Source organism: Homo sapiens, chromosome 11 (assembly GCF_000001405.40).
Source record: "Homo sapiens chromosome 11, GRCh38.p14 Primary Assembly".
Taxonomy (NCBI): domain Eukaryota; kingdom Metazoa; phylum Chordata; class Mammalia; order Primates; family Hominidae; genus Homo; species Homo sapiens.
The window spans coordinates 44,508,280-44,528,557 of record NC_000011.10 but is presented as its reverse complement, the minus strand read 5'-3'; the positions used below and the strand labels follow the sequence as shown (position 1 = coordinate 44,528,557).

At 50.1% G+C, this 20,278-nt stretch overlaps 2 long non-coding RNA genes across 6 annotated transcripts; one reads left to right on the top strand and one right to left on the bottom strand.

The window, feature by feature from the left end:
* LOC105376646 (uncharacterized) lies at window positions 2,492-9,731 on the top strand. Of its 5 annotated transcripts, none has more exons than XR_931232.1 (5): window positions 2,492-3,079; window positions 4,520-4,719; window positions 5,950-6,055; window positions 7,623-7,887; window positions 9,580-9,731. It is a non-coding gene; the product is annotated as an uncharacterized LOC105376646 (long non-coding RNA). The 5 variants fall into 5 exon arrangements; XR_931230.1 differs by lacking the exon at window positions 9,580-9,731 and adding an exon at window positions 9,127-9,161; XR_001748202.2 differs by lacking the exon at window positions 9,580-9,731 and having other exon boundaries at window positions 2,492-2,728; window positions 2,844-3,079; window positions 7,623-9,112.
* Window positions 9,732-11,387: 1,656 nt separating this feature from the next.
* On the bottom strand, window positions 11,388-18,446 carry LOC105376645 (uncharacterized). The gene is made up of 3 exons (XR_931229.1): window positions 17,868-18,446; window positions 12,570-12,713; window positions 11,388-11,547 (listed from the first exon to the last, which is right to left on the bottom strand). It is a non-coding gene; the product is annotated as an uncharacterized LOC105376645 (long non-coding RNA).
* Window positions 18,447-20,278: the final 1,832 nt, after the last annotated feature.

Sequence of the window (20,278 nt, the reverse complement as noted above, 5' to 3'; positions counted from 1 at the left end):
CAGTTGCTCAACATCACACAGCAACTAAGAGACTAAGGAGACTCAAGTCTAGATCTGTGTAATTCCAAGACCTTGGTCTCTGCAGTCCACCGTGCCATCTGCCTCTTCTTATGATTCACAGACTTCAGACTCAAAAGATCAGAGGCATTCCGACAGGAGAGTAAGAAAGTGGCAGTGGCAGGGAAGAGGCTTTGGGGCCTCAAGAATGAGGGCTCAGGCTGGTGAGGCCTGGTGGAGCAGAGGAGGGGAACTCACGGTGGAGAGGGCACCAAGGTCAAAGTTTGTCTCCTCATAGCTTTGCAGAGGGAGGTCCCGCACCATGCTCCCGGGTGACTCACATGAAGTGCGTTACCGGGGGAGGATCAGGCTGGGGCTGGTAGGGAGCTGAGCTATCCAGGAGGAGCCAGGAATGGACCCACACCTCGGACATTCATCTGCCTGGCCCTTTGCTCCCTGGAGGGCAAGGATTTCTCCTTTGCCTTTGGGGGAAACTGGGCACCAACTGTCAAGCTCTAGAATTAGAGGAGTCTTCTCTGAGCCTCAGAAAGCTTGGTCCCCTACCCCCTCCAGGCTGGCCACAAAAGGAGGGCTTCCATCCTGGGAAAGGACCCCTTCCCCCATGCCACTTGATTGAATTCAGCAGAGCCTTTTATTTCTAATTCAGGAAGTGTCCTGACAATAAAGACATCATCAATATATTAACTCACCTCTTCAAAATTTCAAGCACATTCTAGGGAGAGATTTTCCAAACGGAAAACAAAACTGCAATAAAGTGAACAATGTGGTCCCAGCTGTCGTTGCTTTTATGATCGGGCTTTGAGAGGACGGCACCAGGGGAGATGAGAAAAAAACTCGCAAAACAACCCGGAAGGGTGAACTCCCACTGTCAAGACGTTCATTCCAAAATCGGCCTCCACGCCTGGGCATTGCTTCATTTCCATCTGCCTTTGCAAAGAAATTGCCAAGAAGCAATGGCTATTTGCTATTTGTTCACAGTGGCCGTGCTTTTAACCCTATTGACAACCTTGTGGAAAGGCATTCCAGTGCATTCTGGTATCTGTGAGGTTGCTGGTATCTGTGAGGCCTGTTTTGTTGCACACAGGAGCTGTACTAGGATTTATTTGTGGGACCTGGTTCAATTCAGGGCTCACAGTACGCTGTGGAGGAGACAGGTCTCTCCCCATGACATAGGTGAGGAAAGCTAAGGTTTGAAGAGGGACTGGCTTGTCCAATGTCACACAGCTAGAAGGCAGCAGGGTTGGGATGGGGTCCCAAGGGCTCTGACCCGAACCCCCTTGCTGAGAGGAAGCCAGAGGGAGGCGATGACAGAGGAGCGAGGCCCCTGAGGCTCTGGTTTTGGTGGAACTATCAGGGCCCCTCCAGCCCCACACCTTCCTTCACCTTCTGAGTCAAAGTGGAACCAATTTCTCCTTAGTGGGAATTCACGAATTCACACATTCACTCAACAGATATTTACAGAGAATCTTCTAGAAGCCAAGGCTTGTGCTAGTGCAGGGATGGCATCATAAATAAAACACCAAGTGTGGAAAGGTAGCAGGCAGGCCCCCGGCCTTACTGAATTTCAGGGGTCAGGCCCCTCCCACCTGTCGCCCCCAGGGCCCTTCTTGAGGATCTGCCTCAGGTTCTTCTCCACGCAGGAGGAGCAGCCCTCAGACAGGGGTGGGCCGAGGCTGCTGGGGGAGCCTTTGCTGGCTCCCCTTATTGCTCCCCACACCCCACCCGACGTCTACCCCAGATCCTTATGGTTTCAGCTCTGTCTGGGATAGGCCTGGGGCAAGGGAGCCCCCAGAGAGCCTGGGTCAGCTCGGATGAGGGGGCGGGGAGGAAAGCGGGTCGAGCAGAGGTGTGTTTTGAAATCTGCTTCCTTTTGGCCACGCTTGAACTTCCAAGCGGCAGGGTTTGACTGACAGGCGGGGAGAGGGAGAGCCTGCTCCCCACGGAGCCCGGGGCAGAGATGGAGGGGCTCTGCAGGGGCTCAGGCCCGGGGGGCTGCATCCTCTGCCCTTCCTCCCCCTACTCTCAGCAGGGCCTGGAGAAGGGGGTGGGTCTGGGCTCCCTGAGCCCAAAAAGGCCAGGGTTGGGGTGAGGATCTTGGGGTCAGAGACAGAAAAATCTCAGAATCACAGCAGGTCTGAGCCCCTTGGAACGCGTCTGACCACAAAAACAAAAGCACCATCAACAAGGACGGGTATCATTTACTGAACTCCTGCTGCTCATTCGTCAAAAGCTCAGAACATTGCCCTGTGTGCCTCGTAAATGCTGTAGGCATTTGTGAACCAGTAAATAAGGGGAGCCCTGGGACTGCCATTTGTCCTTCCCTCTCAGAAAGCGAACGGATGGATCCTCTACTTTTCCCTGGCCCTCCCCTGTGTCTCGGGGCTGACTCCTGCCAACTGTTGATATATTTCCCAGGCTCCTTTGCCCGCCGGCTTCCTGTTAGTCTTGGCCAATGGGAAGAACTGGATGGAGATCAGCGGGCGGGGCGGAAGGGAGGAGCCAGGGTCTTCCTCCTCATTTCTCTCTGCTTTAGTGGCAACTTGGGAAGTGGTTGGGTCACCGCCAGGGTTCCAGCTCCCATGGGCAGCCCCCTGCCTGACTGTGGTTCCGGTGTCCCACACCTAGTCTGGTTCCCAGGCTTTGGGTATCGGCACTTCCTCCCCGGTCTCTGGAGTCCCAGGTTGTCACAGCTGCCTGCCGCTGCTTGTCGGTGGGTGGCTCACCATCCCCGGTCAGGCCTTTCAGCTCCTCCAACACCTTCCGAACTAGCTCCCTATATCACATGCCCTCTGTTGAAATACCTGACTTGAGTTCTGGTTTCCTAGCTGGATCTTGACTAAGAGAAGCCCCTACTATGTGCCAGGCTGGGATCCCTGCCTTCAAGGAGCTTACAATCTAGTGCGGAAAGGGACGTTTGTCAAATCATCCCATGAATATGCATAAAAGTTCAGACAGCACCCAGTGCTGTGAAGGCCACTGTCGGTGAGGGAAGACCCTAGAGAGGAGGCTTGATCTCACTTGGGGCCTGGCAGGCACCTCGAGGAAGGGATGTATCTAAGAGGTAGTGTGTCTGATGCTCTGTGTACACCATTTCTCAACCTTGGGGCAATCCTGCAAGATCAGGGTCACTGTCCCCATTTTGTAGATGAGGACATGGAGGCCCAGCGAGGAGCACCCTCTGTTGCAGCCTCAGGATCCCGGGGAGACTGGCTGTGACTGGGACTCGGGTCTACCCACTCTTTGCTGCCTACTGTCTGGGACTGACATTTTGCAGAAGAGGGAATCAGCCTAGAGAAGCACAGTGACTCCTCCAGGGCCACCAAGCCAGGGGAAACCAGGTCACCTCGTCCTGGTGTAGATCCTGAAGGCTGCCTCTGCCCTGTGAGATTTCCCATGTCACTGCTCATTTGCACACTCAGCGCTTCCTCCTCCTCCTCCCAAGCTTCCTTCCAATTGGCGGCTGAGGCAGCATCAGAAACCACAGTGCTGGGCCCAGTGCCAGAGCCTCCCCCTCAGTGACCCCCTTCCCACGTCCTGAGTTTCTGAGACTAGCTCTGTCCAGGGGGAAGCTTTTCCAGCCCTTTCGAGCCCACGTGCACTCGAGAGTATGTGTGAAAACGTGCACTTACCTGGAGCATGTCTTCCCTGTGGTGTGCAGCGAGGGGCAAATAGGGCCCTCTCTAAGATTAGCCCCCAACCCCCGCCCCCGACACACACACACACTAATTTCCACAAGTATGGGCAGGACTTTCTGCTGAAGTCATCACAGATGGGTGGAGTTCGGGGGTGCTTGGTATCCTGGGGGTTTTCAGGGCAGTGTAGCCCCTGCACCAGGCGCTGCGTGCCTGGGGAGACACCAACAGCTTGCTGGCTAGGTGGTGGCCAGGCAGGGACAGAGAGCAGGCCCAGAGGGAGCCGGGGAGGCAGGACTCCAGGACATCTGGGCTGGGGGAAGGTGGAAAGTGCAAAATATCCGTGCAGGAGGTGAAGGCCTGGATGTGTAAGGCCCTGAGGTCTCTGACAGGAAGTGAAAACCTCAGGGAACTGGAAGCTTGGCTGGGAACAGGCCGTGAGAGGGAAACTCGGCCACACGGAGAAGCCGGCCGAGGCCTCCTTGAGCAGATGGGGATACTGAGGCTGAGGCAACTGCTTTGCTCAAGGGACTGGGAGTCTTTTTTATTTTCCACCCCACCGTTCCTAGATTAAAGCCAGCTGAGAATATTGCTTCTGTGACAGCCCGATTACCTTGGCCTAAATTTTCTAGTGGGTGAGGAGAGGCAGCACTGTGCTAACATAGCCAGCTTTTTTTTTTTTTTTTTTTAACTTTTTTAGTGACAGGGTCTTACTCTATCACCCGGGCTGGAGTGCAGTGACACAATCAATGACTTGCTGCAGCCTTGAACTCCTGGTTTCAAGCAAACCTCCTACTTCAGCCTCCTGAGTAGCTGGGACCACAGGCATATGCCACCACACCTGGCTAATTTTCCAATTTTTTGTACAGACAGGATCTCATGTTATTTAGGCTTGTCTGGGACTCCTGGCCTCAAGCAATCCTCCTGCCTCGGCCTACCGAAGTGCTGGGATTACAGGCATGAGCCACTGCACCCGGCCACCAGCATTTGTTAAAGTCTCACCACGGATCAGGCTCTCATCTAAAAAACTTGAAGTTGTCATTCTGTGTCCTTACAGTAACCCCTCAAGGTAGGTGTCACTCTCATCTCCATTTTACAAATGAGAAAAGAGGCTAACTAAGGGAAGTTAAAGAGCTTGCCGAAGATCACATAGCCAGAATTTTAATCCGAGGATCTGGAGCCTCTTTTGCGGTGCCATCAAAGGCTTGCTGGCTCCCCCTGGTGTGCCCTCAAGGCAGCTGCCTGTGACTGTCCTGTAGGGGAAGCTTTGCAGATAGGGGACCTTTGTAGATCGTCGATATCCTGGGCTCTGCGCATGCTGTGGTTCCTCTGCCTGAAATGCTCTTCCTGCCTCTTCTTCTTCTTCTTCTTCTTCTTCTTCTTCTTCTCCTTCTCCTTCTCCTTCTCCTTCTCCTTCTCCTTCTCCTTCTCCTTCTCCTTCTCCTTCTCCTTCTTCTTCTTCTTCTTCTTCTTCTTCTTTCTTCTTCTTCTTTTTTTTTTTTTTTTTGATACGGAGTCTTCCTCTATTGCCCAGGCTGGAGTGCAGTGGCTCAATCTTGGCTCACTGCAACCTTCGCCTCCTGGGTTCAAGAAATTCTCCTGCCTCAGCCTCCCGAGTAGCTAGGACTACAGGCGCACACCATCATGCCTGGCTAGTTTTTTTGTATTTTTAGTAGAGACGGGGTTTCACCATATTGGCCAGGCTGGTCTTGAACTCCTGACCTCGTGATCTGCCTACCTTGGACTACCAAAGTGCTGGGATTACTGACGTGAGCCACCGCGCCCAGACTTCCTGCCTCTTTTCTAGTGTCCTGGCCTGCTTTGGAGCTCAGTCTGAAGTTAGCTCCTGCTTTGGGGGTTACCTCCCCCTGAACTCCAGGCTAGGCTGGGTTTCCCTGTTTTTCCTCCCAGAGCACCTGTATATCTTCTTTGTAGCATTCATTCATTCATTCATGTTTCATTCAGTAAGTATCTACTCAGAGCACATGGTAAGTCAGGTGCTGGAGACAGAGCACAAAGGGGTCACAACTCCCACCCTCGTGGTGTGCACTGTCTAGTGGGGAAGACAGGAAAACAAAGAAATGCATAACCTTGTACCAAATACTCATACTCCTACTTTTTGAAAAATCAGGAAAGGGGATGGAGATTGATGGGGTGGTATTTTAGACATGGGGGTCCGGAAAGGTCACTCAGAAGAGGTGACATTTGAGCAGAGATGTGAGCAAAGTGATTTGTCATAGCATGCCTTAATTATTCTCTGAACTTCTGTCTCATGCCTGTCTTTTCTACTGGGCTATAGCTGAAGACAAAATATTTGCCAGTCTTGTTCATGAAGGTATTCCAATGCCTAGAACATTGCTTTTGCACATAGTAGGTGCTCAACAAACGGGCCTTGCACACAGTAGGTGAGTAAATGAGTGAGTGAATAAATGAATGAATGAATGAATGATGGAGGCAGAAAAATCTTTGCAGGCTCAAGTGCTAACTCTAGTCCTGTGCTCCACAACAGTTGCAGACATGTCAATCTCCTCCTCAAAGCCTCCCTTTCCTCCTAAATAGGGAATTAATGGGGAGCTTGACCGATCCTTTGGGACAGGTGTTAAGAATCTCAACTGGTTAAAAAATCTGGACCCAAAATAGATGATTAAGAGACCCAGAAGGCAGTGGGGCTGTGAGGACGTGGAGGGCAAAAAGGCATCCAGTTTGCATTGCTCCAATTCCTCCCCAGACAGCCAGCCTCGATGGACTGTCTGTAGTCCACACTTTTTTTTTTTTTTTTTTTGAGACTGAGTCTCGCTCTGTCACCCAGGCTGGAGTGCAGTGGTGCAATCTCGGCTCACTGCAACCTCCGCCTCCTGGGTTCAAGCGATTCTTCTGCCTCAGCCTCCCGAGTAGCTGGGACTACAGGTGCGTGCCACCACACCCGGCTAATTTTTGTGTTTTTAATAGAGGCAGGGTTTCACCATATTGGCCAGGCTGGTCTCAAACTCCTGACCTCATGATCCACCCACCTCGGCCTCCCAAAGTGCTGGAATTACAGGTGTGAGCCACCACGCCCAGCTGTTGTCCACACTCTTATTTGAGCCAGAGTACCCATCAGGGAGGCTGAGGTGGTGGGAGAAGGCTGCTTCCTGACTAACAGCTGTGCCAACTCCAGAGCTGCAGGTCCAGGCAGGCAGGGACCTCAACCCCAGCACAAAAGGATGTAGAGGGGTAGGAGGCCAGGGTGACTTGGGAGCCAGGGGCTTTATCCTACCAAAGGAAAGGATCTCTCCTGGAGCGAGGTCAGTGGAGTGGGTGTTAGCGAGGGCCTGGGCTTTAGGGAGGCTCATGGATGACCCAAGAGTTTCATGCCTGAAGGCTCCTGTGCTCCCCCAGTGAGAAGGATCAAAAGTCCACCTGCAGGGTCTCAGCATTCCCTAGGTCCGCCCTCCAGAGCTGAGACCTAGCTGAGAGAGAGGAGGTGTGAGAAGAGCTGAGGGGCCTTGGAAAGAGTGTGGGACATCCTAGAACCCTGGCTCAGCCACCTGCTGGCTGTGACCCTGGCGGGGCATGTCCCTTCTTTGGATCTCAGTTTTTCCACTCTGTAAAATGGGTTGATCATCATAAGGCTGACCTCACCAAATTGCTATAAGGATCAAATCAGAGGACATATGTGAAGTCCCATTACTGTGCATATGTGAAGTCATATCACTGAATCTATGGGATGCCAGACTCAGAAAAACAGTAGCAAGGGAAAAAGAGAAAACTTGTTCCATGTTTGCTGATTTTCCCCAAGGCTGGTGCTTCACGGACTTGACAAGCACTTTTGTATTTTGGAATCAGACAGACCTTGGTTTGAATCCTAGCAAGTGATTCTCCAAGGCTCAGTTTTCCTGTCTATGAAATGAATGGATGAACACAGTCAGTAATAAAATACTGAAATGCTGAGCACAGCCCCTGGCTCATAGTAGAGCGCAATAAATGGTTTAGTTAATATCACAGGTTAAAGACGAAGAATAAGGGGGATCCCTGCCTTGATGGACAAGGAGAAAAGCAGGGCCCTGATGAGGGAGCCCCGCACTGCCAGGATGGAGCAGGAGTGTCAAAGGAAGCCTTCCAACAGCGGTGGCACAGGCGCCAAGGCAACAAGGAAGGGTGGGAGCTCTGCAAGGCACCGGGCACTCCAGGCAGAAGGACCTGTGTGGGGAAAAGCAAGGCAGCTGGAAAAAGCAAGCGGAGCTGCGAAGGCGCCAAGGTATAAACACAGACCAAGAGCCAAGGGTGGGGCCGGTACAGGGGGTCACTGGGAGATGCCAGCACCCTCCACCCAGGCGTCCTTCGGGGCCAGCCAACCTAAGGAAGGAGGCCAGGCCTCACGCCCCTCTGTGCCTGACCCCTAGCCACACTGCCCTGTGGGGCCCGGCCTGGTTTCCCCTCCACTGCTCAGGGCGGAAATCCAGCAGGGGCAGCCAGGCCGACATCCAACCCTCCCACCGCAGGCCTGGCCTCAGCCCCTCTCCGGGCCTTTAACGAAGCCATAAATCCCCCGCAGGGCCGTGGGAGGGGCGGCGGCCCTGCACATGTCCCGGCGGCCGGACAGAGGCCGGCATCTCTGGCTGGCGGTGACTGAGCGCCCCGACACCCCATCACTCATTCCCCGCGCCCAGCTGCCCCCGCCTCGGCAGCAGCCCATCCATCTCAGCCGGCAGCTTTCAAGTCCGGCCCCAGGCCCCTCTGCTTAGTGTTAAGATGAGCCCGGCTCACGCGGACTGTTCTTATTTATCTGGAGGTTCGTCCCACTGTGGCCATCACTCTGCGGGGCGGCCCCAGTTCCCGGGACAGGCCCCCAGAATGCGATCCTCCTCCGTTTCCTTTCCCGCCCCCACCTGGCAACGCACAGAGAAGGCCTGCAGCCCGAGGGCGGATTTGTTTCAGTCGCAGGTCGCTGGGCGTTTTGACCTCTGCTGTTTTCTTGGAAGGCTTTCAGCAGCCCTTTGAGGCATCAGTGTCCGTGCTCTGTAGCGGTGGAAACTGAGGCACAGAGAGGGAAGCTCAGAGTTCTCCTGGCTGTCTGGCTCTGATGCAGGACCAGTGGCCAATCTTTGGCCAAATCCTGCGAGGCCTCCTGGGGCCTTTGCATGGCTGCCTTGCAAGTTTGGTCAGATCAATTTTCGTCCAGCATTCTCTGCTACACTGCAAAGTCCTCCAGGGCAAGGATCCACTCACGGAGGCCTTGCTGGACTCAGTCATGGGAAGGGGGAGATTAGTGTTGGGGTTTTGGGCATGTTATGCATTGAATGTTTGTGTTCCCCCCAAATTTACATGTTGAAGCCCTAACCTCCAATGTGAAGGTTTTAGAGGTGGGGTGTTTGAGAGGTAATTAGGTTGAGATGTGGTCATGAGGGTGGAACCCCCATCTTGGGATTCACGTCCTTATAAGGAAAGGAAGAAACACCAGAGTTACACCTCTCTGTCTCTCTCCTTGCCACTTGAGAACACAGTGAGAAGGTAGCCAGGAAGAGAGCCCTCACCAGGAACATAATCTGCCGGCACTTTGATCTTGGACTTCTAGCTTCCAGAACTAGGAGCAATAAATGTCTGTTGTTTAAGCCACCCACCCTGTGGTGTCTTGTTAAGCCAGGCCAAGCTGACTACAACAGAAGGGTCGTTCTGGAATCAGATAGAACTGAAGCCCTGACTCTGCCACCTCCCAGCTTGGGGGGAATCGTTGATGTCTTAGTCACAGTTCCTCTTCTGCAAAATGAGCACAAGTGCCAGAGCCCTCCAGGTCACACATGCAAACTTCCAGGAGCCATGTGGGTCTGTCAGGGAGCTCCATGAAGGCCCACAGCTTCATTTATGATCACCATCACCCTCTCAGGGGTGCTTGGCATGGGGTCCTCAGAGGGCAGATGGCCTTCTGGGTTTAATCTTGTCATCTCAACAGTTCAGGGGCCCTCGCAGACCAGACATATTTTGCCTGTGGTCAAGGAATCCAGGCTGGGCAGAGTCTTCCATCTTGGAGGCGACTGGAATTCTGACAGCCAAGCATGGAAGCCACAGTCATCTCTCAGAGGATGACCACCTGTGTCTTTGAGGAATAAGAAGGGGGAAATAAATTAATTATTACTTTAAAACAAAGTTTGTTCAAGAGATAGAAATCTTTCAAAACACAGGATAATAAAAGCCACCTCCCTTGGGGAAAAGTCTGGGAAGCTCTAACTTGGTCCTGCCCCAAGCCCCACACCCCCACCAAGAGCCCTCTGAGGGGCGGTCTCCATTCTACAGGGGAAGATATTGAGTGTCAGAGTGCTGACCTGACTTGCCCCAGGTCACACCTTTAGAGGCCAGGCCAGGCCAGGCCTCCGCTCTGCAGAGGTAGGGCCCTTGGGCAGGAAGAACTGGCCTGGCACAGGCTTCAGGCAGACCCGCATCCCTGCCTGGCTCTGCCACCTGCTGCTGAGAGATTTTGAGCAAATCACATCTCCTCATCAACCAAGATGGTGTGAAACCACTTGAGTGAGTTAAAGCACTGTTCTCTAGGTGACAAGGCTCTAGTGCACATTTTCAGAGATGGGGTCTGGTTCCTCCTGACCCCCCAGGTTCTGGTGTCCACGGTCCCCAGTTCCCACAGCCTCCTTCTGCAGCCCCTGATGCCTGTTCTAGGGGCCGAGGGCTAGAGGTCTGGCTGCCAGGGTGAGGTGGTGCTTCTTAGAATAGGGTCCCTTGTCTTCTGCTGCTTCCCAGACATGGAGATCTCTTTGATCATGGAAGATGGGCTAAAGATGCTTGTATCTTTGAATTTTTGGTTATAGTCCTTTTGGACCTCGGGACATGGAAGACAGAAGAAGAACTGGCTTATTCATGGGGAGGCAGCACAGACATCCAGGCTGCTATTTTTACACTTGGAAAATGGATGAGAGGGAGGTTGGTTAAATGATCTGTTAGGAACCTCCTGGCTGAGGGTTGGCTGCAGACATCCCTGGTGCATCTCCTGCAGGAGGCAGGCTTCTCTGGGTCCCTGTCCACCCAGAGGATTGCAAACCCCACAAAGCCCAAGCCCAGAAAGATTTGAGTGACCAGCCCCTTAGAAAAATCAGGATCAGAGAAGGAAAGTGGTTTACCCAAGACCACACAGGATATGAATGGAGAAGCCCAGGGAACAACCCAGGTGTCCCGACCCCAGCCCAGGGCTCACCCACTGCACCATGCCATGTGCGTTAAACAACCTGATTGTTGAATGAATGAACAAATGAAAGTTCATTTAGAAGCTCTAATCACCTCCCTCTCTCTTCTCCCTTATTCCCTCCCTTCTTTTTTTCTTTATTCTTTCTTTTCTCCTTCCTCCTCTCCCTCCTCCATTCTCTTTACACACACACACACACACACACACACACCCCAAATGTCTGCTCTGGGCCAGGTCTTGTCTTGGCTACTGGAACACTAACTAGCTGACCACATGCCTGTCCTCTGGTGACTCTCAGAGAAGTGGGCAAGATCCTCTCAGAAGCCCCCAGACCTTGCTGGGTGCCTGGGAGTCCCTGATCTCCCTGGAGCCCAGCCTTGGCTGCCTTCTCTCTCTTCTGCAGGTCACGCCCAGGATGTGAAGGGGTTAAAAAGCACAGGGCAGGGCAGGCCCACGCTCACTCATTTGGCCCAGCCACCTATCCAGGCCACTTCTGGGGGCTTGCAGTGTTTCTTTTTCTCTTCCTCCTCTCCTTTTTTTTCTAAAGAAACATATGTCACTCGCCATAACTCATGTGCTTATTATAATTATGACCATATGCTTAATGGGATGTAATAAAACCACTGCTAACCTGGCCCCTGCTCACAAATCTCCCCCCATCACTCCCACTCCACTGGCCGATCTGCCGGCCCCTGGGCTGCTTCAAAATGTTTTCATGGCAAGACTGACCTGAGGAAAGGGGAGAAAAAAGGGGAAGTGAGCTCAGTCATTCATTCTTTTGTTCATGTGTTCATTCATTCATCCATTTGCTACTTATTGAATACCTACTATGTGCCAAGTTCTAAGAGGGCACCAGTGAATGGTACAGACAGAGCTGATGGGAAGGGTAGATGTCTTATAAACAGATAATTCAACATTTATTTAATTACAGCTAGCCACAGAGGAGACTGCATTACAGGAAGGCCCACCAAGACTGAATTGTTGCCTTCCAGAGCAGAACCACATCTGATGCATTAATATACACTGTCCTTAGTAGGGCTTTTATAAATATTTGTTCAATGAATAAATGAATGAATGAATGAGTGAGTTGTAGATCAGAAAATGCTTTCCTGAATAACAGAGATTGAGTTATAAAATAATGCCTCCTAAGAGGAGTGCATAAGCGAATCCATGGGGTACATGAAGAAAATAGTAAAACTTTCATTTATTGTTATTTGTCAATCTTAAAAACAAGATACCAAAATTTTCTCTGATGTTTTATGCACAGATTGATGGCAAAGTATATGGCATATGTATGTAAAATTTATAAATAGTTATGCATACAGTTGGCGGAGGGTGTGCTCAATGTTTTTTGATTTGTTTTGAGACAGAGTCTCATCCTGTTGCCCAGGCTGGAGTGCAGTGGTGCAATCATAGCTCACTGCAGACTAGGCCTCCTAGGTTTAAGTGATCCTCCTACCTGAGCTTCTGAAGTAGCTGGGGCCACAGGCACACACTATCACACCTGACTAATTTTTTATTTTTTTTAGATAAAGGGTCTCCCTATGTTGCTCAGGTTGGTCTCAAACTCCTAGGCTCAAGCAATCCTCATGCCTTGGTCTCCCAAAGTGTTGGGATTACAGGTATGAACTACCATGCCCATCAATGTTTTTACTGTTGGAGAGGGATACATGATCAAAAGAGTTGGGAAACCTCTTGTTTTTGCCTGCGTGGGCTGCCATACAAAGTATCTTAAGTATCTTAAACAATACCTTAAACAACAGACATTTATTTCTCATGTCCGGAGTTCTGGAGGCCGTGAAGTTCAAGATCAAAGTGGTGGCTGATTTGGTTCCTGGTGAGATCTCTCTTCCTGGCTTGCAGGCAGCCACCTTCTCACTCTGTCCTCACATGACCTTTCCAGAGAGAAAGAGAGAGAGCTCTTCCTCTTCTTATAACATCACCCATCCCATTGGATTGGGAATTCACCCTTATGATCTCATTTAACCTTAATTACTTCCTAAAAGCCTTGTCTCCAATGCATTCCCACTGGGGGTTAGGGCTTCAACATGCAAAGTTTGGGGCAACACATCTCTAAAGGATGGAATAGTGAGGCTCTGGGTGAAGGTGCTGGGGGAAAGGAGAGTCCACATTCTCGAAGCTGTAGCTGCATCAAAGGCCCGATATGGGAATAAGTTTGGGGTTAGAAAGAACAAAATTCTTTCATTTGCATTCTCTATTCTTGGAAAAGTATTACATCAAGTCGGACTTCATGCTGGTGTGAACCTAATACCCTTTCAGATGTCCAAAACAGTGTAGGAAGTAGAGACAGAGTAGGATATGTGGTTCCTGGACAGAGGGACAGCTGGAGGGAGGTAATGATAATATAAAAATGTAGCATAGATGGAATGTTACTGTGTGTGCCTCAGGCAAGCACCCAAGGCATAAAGCTCAGTTCTCCATTCTCCAGATGCCAAGAATCCCCACGCACTCCTCCCTCTCCAGTCTCTCCTTGCCCCAGCTGGGGACATTTCCTGAATTGTTCCCAGCATCCACTCAGGCTCTCCCATGGTCTAAACCCTCAGAGCTTCCTGCCACACTCAGAATACATGCAGAGCCCTTCCCATGGCCTACAGGCCTTGCGTGAGTTGACTTCTGGCCTCTTCTTCCATCTTCATTCTTACCCCACCCTTGGCTTACCACATGGGTCTCCTTGCACGTGCTTGAACACATCCTGCTCACTCCCACTCCAGGGCCTCTGCACTCAATGTTATCTCTCCCTGGAGCACTCATGCCCCTCCACCTTTTATCCTCATGGCTCATTCCCTCACTTCACTCTGGTCTCTGGCTAAATGATACCTTCTAAGAGAGGCCTCCTTGGTCTACCCCATCTGAATTTTTTTTTTTTTTTTGGAGAAAGGGTCTCACTCTGTTGCCCAGGCTAAAATGCAGTAGCATGATCTCTGCTCACTGCAGCCTCCACCTCCCCAGCTCAAGCGATCTTCCCATCTCAGCCTCCTGAGTAGCTGGGACTACAGGTGTGCACTACCACACCCTGCTAATTTTTGTATTTTTTTTTGTACAGATGGGGTTTTGCCATGTTGCCCAGGCTGGTCTTGAACTCCTAGGCTCAAGTTCTCTGCCTACCTGAGTCTCCCAAAGTGCTGGGATTACAGATGTGAGCCACTGTGCCTGGCCTGTAAAATTGTTTTCAGAGACGGGGGCTCACCATGTCATCCAGGCTGGCCTCAAACTCCTGGGCTCCAGCGATCCTCCTGCCTCAGCCTCCTGGGTACCTGGTATTACAGGCATGCCACACTGGGCCTGGCCTCTGGTTTCTTCTTTAATAGCACTTGTCACATTTGACATATTATACATGTGTTTGTTCATTTAGGATATTGTCTCACTTTCACCAAAATGTAAGCTTCATAAGGCAGGAATGTACGTCTGTTTGTTCCCTACTAACTTTATATATACTGTCCCTAGTAGACCTTTTATGAATATTTGTTCAATGAATAAATGAATGAATGAATGAGTGAGTTGTAGATCAGAAAAGGCTTTCCTGAAGAACAGAGATGTGGTTCTGCTCTGGAAGGCAACAATTCAGTCTTGGTGGGCTTTCCTATAATGCAGTCTCTTCTGTGCCTAGCTGTAATTAATGAAGTCTTCAATTACCTGTTTATAAGACATCTGCCTTTCCCACCAGCTCTGTCTGTACCATTCACTGGTGCCCCCTCAGAGCTTTTATAGACCCTACCTGAGGGCCTATAAAAGTACCTGGCACCTAGTAGGTGCTCATTAAACTTGCATTGAATGAATGAAAAACGTTTTTGCAACTTATTGAGCAAAGGGAGAGAGTTGTGCAAGATGAAATGGGAGAGGAAGGCATGGGCCAGGCCCCCGGTAGGGAGTTTGGATTTTGTTCCCATTGTGATGGAGAGCTATTGAAGAGTTTAACGTGATTGGGTTTATTTTTTTATTTTATTTTACTATTATTATTTTTTGAGGCGGAGTCTTGCTCTGTCACCCAGGCTGGAGTGCAGTGGCGTGATCTCGGCTCACTGCAAGCTCCGCCTCCCGGGTTCACGCCATTCTCCTGCCTCAGCCTCCCAAGTAGCTGGGACTACAGGCACCCGCCACAACACCTGGCTAATTTTTTTTTATTTTTAGTAGAGACGGGGTTTCACCGTGTTAGCCAGGATGGTCTCTTTATCTCCTGACCTCGTGATCTGCCTGCCTCGGCCTCCCAAAGTGCTGGGATTACAGGTGTGAGCCACCATGCCTGGTTGATTGGGTTTATTTTTTTAAAAATAACTCCCCTTAGGTGTGCCAGGGAAGAATAATAGGATTTTTAAAACTATGGAATTGAGGAAAATTAGGGACAATCTCATAGGATTATGGGAAAACCAATAACTTCAACTTCAGTTTCCCCATCCATCCTCCCTCCTCACTCTCCCCCAATGCCTGGAATCTCTCTCAGATCTCTTTTTGGTTAAAAAAATAATGAATAAATATGGGATGGGGGGGTGATAAAACGTGGTCTTCTGTGTTTAGCCCTCTGTGAGTTTCAGATCTGTTCCCTGCGTGTCTTTTCTGTTCCCGAGTGTGCAAGAAGAAAGTCCGGTCCTGATTTATGCTGCTGACAGAACATCTAATGAATTGAAGACATAAAAGCATAACAAAGCTCCCCCCGGGATAAATCCATTCTGGATTCAGGCTTTTGTGAGGGGCACGTGGCCGTGCTGACAGCCCAGTGTCTGTGATGGATGTGGCCCTGGACGCTGAGCTAGGGGGCATCGGAGGAGCTCGTTGGGGGTGGTATAGGGAGGAGTTTATGTAGACTTAGGAGGCTCTAAACATCCCCAACCTTGTAGCAAAAGGAGCTTAAGGCAAATCCAAAACGGAGATTCCAGCACGTGTGGGGCCTGCAGGGCCGCTTCCATCGAATGGAGAGCGATGCATGGGGATGGCGTGACAGATGGTGGACCAGAGTTAGGACCTGGGGACCTCAGTCCCAGCCCCAGCTTTCCCCCAAATGCAAACTTGGACAAGCCCCTAGCAGGCATCTATGTCCACTTGTAAAATAAGGTTTCAAACAGTTCAGGCACTGAAAATTTTAGTGCTTATAAGAGCCCAAGACAGATTTTGCCAAAAAGAGAAAGGTGAGCTGGGTAGGAGCTGCAGAAAAATGGAGAACCCTTGTCCTGTTTATAAGAAACATCCGCCACTCTGCTCCCACCAACGCGATTATTGTCAGAGCAGAATGTAGGCTGGGAAGGAAAGCAGGAGCAGCTCTTCTGCTTATAGAAGAGAAGTCAGAAAGTTGCATCCATTCCTATGTGGAATCTTTCCTTTAGAAAAAGCTGACAGCTAGTTAAAATAAAATCTTTAAATGATGCTAGCTGAATTCAGCCTTTGGGAAACCCATTTGAGACCTCTGAATTAGATGACCACTCAGAGTCCCATTTCATTTTAATTCAGTTAATTCAACAACTTAACTGAACTTAATTCAGTTAAGTTCTTCTTACTGAGAACTCAATATGTGCCAGGTACTGGGGATGAAGATGGGACAAGCACAGGGCTCAATATTACAACTATTTACTGGATAGAACCATGTGAATCAAGGCTCAGAGGACTTAGTGTCAATGGCACATTTGGAGAACTGTCCAGAGGCAGCCAATAGAGGACATGATTGGAGGTAGGCAGACAGTGGCAGATCTGAAGGGCCAGAAAGGCATGGTGGAGGATGGAGCCCTTGACCTCCTGGTCACTGGGACCTGCAGACACTTAGAAGCTGGGGGTGACAGGTCAGATTTCTATGTTAGAGAGGGTCCCCTCACAGCTGTGTGAACAATGGTTAAAGGAGCAAACTGTGGACATAGGGAGGGCCATGTAGTGGCCATTTTAATAATCCAGGAAGAGTTGGTGTGACCTTGAACTCAGGCAGAGACAGAGGGGGAAGGAAAAGATGGCATCTTTGAGGCACTAGTGGATTCCTCTCATCTTTTGCTGGGATATTTTCCTGCTGGTTGACATCAACTACACAGAGTTCCTTGTAGCAGGCGACACAAACCAATGTGGCTAATTTAAGGAGACAGGGGCTGGAGAAGCAGGCTTAGAGGCTACGCAGTGAGGAAGGATGCCTTTAATCCCTGGGCAGAATGGATCCATTGGAGATGCTACCACCATTGCTGAACAAACCTCGAAAGGGCACAGCCAGCTGTGCTGTACCTGGACTCGTAGGCTGGCTTTGGATGTTGAATTATCAAGAAAACGGGGAAAATGGGGATAATAACTCTGACTTCACTGGGGTTGTTTTGAAGATCAATGGCAATCATATTTGTAAGACATTAAACACAGTACCCAGTGCCTGGCACATAATTACCACTCAGGAGACAGAAGCTATCACCATTGTCTTCAGCATCTTCATTATCATTACGATTACCTGCTTATTATTGGTTTCAGCAAAAGCCAGTTAGACTTGCCCTAAGGGCCATACCCTTATACCATTCTCCTTGTGCACCCAACAAAACTTTGTACATTCTAGGGCTCTACACCCCAAAGTCTCATCCAATGTCTGGCATAAAATGCCTGTTGAATAACAGAATGGGTGGGTGGAGGGCTGTGTGGTACGAGAATGACAGACTTAGCAAGTTCAAGGTTTCAAATGTTTTCTCTTTGGTTGAAAGGCCAATCCCCTTTTCCATTTACCTTGACCATATTCAAGACAAAGGGGGAACAGACGTCCCCTTAGTCATACCAAGGATGCCCCACAGTTGGCGAGACACCTTCTGTGGCTAGTTCCATGTCTCCCACTAGGAAGGAGGGATTCCAGATGTCTTTGAGGTGCTGGATGTTCCGCTGAGGAGTGGTGGGTGTGCAGGAGAGATTGGGGTCTCTGCATGTCAGCTGGAATGTGAGTGGAGCAAAGGAGAGTGTCCAGGGTGTGGCCCTATTTTGGGGTACACACGTAGAAGGTGCTCGATGCTGGTGAGTTACACTCATGAGTGTAGAGGTTTTTCCAACCCAACATCATATCATGGAGGGTGAAAGAGACAGTCGGAACTCACCACATATTCCAAGGGCTCCTTCCACCTCCCAGACTCCCTTGTGGCTGGGTGGAGCCACGTGACTCCTTTGACCAGCAGAACGTGAATGGAAACTGTACTTCCAGGCAGAGGCGGTCAGAGCCAAAGTGCCTTCTTCGTCGTTCTCTCCCCTGCCTCAGGACGTGGAGGACGCGTGTTCCAGATGATGCAACAGATTTTATGTGAGGGAGAAATATGTCATTATTGTGCTAAGCCACCGAGATGTCAGGGTTCGTCAGTTATACACTGTACAGCCTAGCCCAGACTGACTAATAGTAACATTCACATCTAAATAGGTCTCCTACATTTTCCAGAGAGCATTTCATCAGTATGAGAGCTAATTGCAAGGACTCTCAAGATCTGCTAGTTCAACCACTCCTTTTTTACAGAGAGGGAAACTGAGGCAGGCCAAGATAGTGGAAGCAACATGTTCAGTGTCACTCAGTGCAATAGGGACCCAGGTGAGCCCACAGCTATGGTCCCCTGATCATGCCCACACTGATCAAATATAAGTTCCAATGAAAAATATCCTAGGCCGGGCATGGTGGCTCACACTTATAATCCCAGCACTTTGGGAGGCCAAGGCAGGTGGATCATTTGAGGTCAGGAGTTCGAGACCAGCCTGACCACCATGGTGAAACCCCATCCCTGCTAAAAACACACAAAAAATTAGCTGGGCGTGGTGGTGCACGCCTGTAATTTCAGCTACTTGGGAGGCTGAGGCAGGAGAATTGCTCGAACCTGGGAGGTGGAGGTTGCAGTGAGCCGAGATCCTGCCACTGCATTCCAGGCTGGGTGACAGAGTAAGACTCTGTCTCAAAAAAAAAATGTGTATATATACACACAGTATATATATATATATATATATATATATATATATATACACACACACACACACACACACTATATATATAGTATATATATAAAATACATATATATAACATATATACTATATATATAACATATTATATATATATATATATATATATATAATGTAACATATATACATAGTAAAAGTTTGAGATTTCCTCCACAAACGAGGCCTAAAAAGACATTTCGTTTGTGGGTTGGGCTTCTGGGCTCCTGATACCGCCTGCCTCTGTGCAGCTGTCTGTAACCACCCTGGCTTCCTTTAAATCCTGCTGAAAGCTTTCCTTCCTCCCCTCCCCACCAGCCCCTGATCACCCGTCTCTCTCTTGCCTTCTGGAATTCCGCCTGCTGGAGGTCTCAAGTGAGATTTAATCCTGTTACTAAAACCCAGAGATGCACTCTGCCACATGTAGCTGAGAACCCAGCACTTCATGAAACTCTAAGGCCTCTTTCAGAAGTGTAAGTCTTATCTTGCCATGAGTAGCCCATACAGATGCAGCACCACCATTCACATGAAGTTTCTCACCCCCCAGATGTTCAAAAGTCTCATTCTTCAGGATCAAGAGGCATCGGCTGGTGCAGGGCTGGGTGTGCAGCAAGGCACAGAGAAGTGAAATGTATTCATTGAACCAGCAAAGATTGGACACCCCTTTGTGCCGGGGACCAGGACCCGTTCCTGAACACAATACATTCCCTACCCCAGGGAGCTATGTTCTGACAGGAGAAGCCATTAAACAATTAGTTAATTGCAATGGTGACAAATGCTGTATGTGAGATGTACAGGGTGCTGTGGGAGCAAATGGCTGAGTCTAGGGTGGAAGTGGTAGGTCAGGGGAGGCTCTCTGAAATAGGACTTACTGGGGAGAAAGGAGGCAAGCAGAGCATTCCTGGCAGACAGAAGTGCATGTGCAAAGGTCCTGTGATAGGAGAGACCACGGAGTGTTTGATGACTTGAAAGAAGGCCAGCGTGGCCGGGTGCGGTGGCTCACGCTTGTAAACCCAGCACTTTGGGAGGCTGAGGCAGGTGAATCGCTTGAGGTCAGGAGTTCGAGACCAGCCTGGCCAACATGGCGAAACTGTCTCTATTAAAAATACAATAATTAGCCGGGCCTGGTGGCACACATCTGTAATCCCAGCTACTTGGGAGGCTGAGGCACAAGAATCTCTTGAACCCAGGAGGCGGAGGTTACAGTGAGCCGAGATCGCGCCAGCGGACTCCAGCCTGGGCGACAGAGGGAGACTCTGTCTCAAAAAAAAAAAAAAAAAGAAAAGAAAAGAAAAAGAAAAAAGAAAGAAGGAAAGGAAGAGGGCCAATGTGGCGGAAGGGAGAGGAGAGACAAAAAGCAGGGGTTGGAGAACTGGAGACAGTGCACAAGAGACAAAGCAGGGCCTGGTCATTGCAGGACCACATCATGGATTTAGGACTTTATTATTGTTATTCTGAAAGGCACTGAACAACTTCTGACAGAGCCAGTGGCCTTCAGACTGGTGGCTGCTCTGTGCAGAGTTGATGTGAGGAAGCA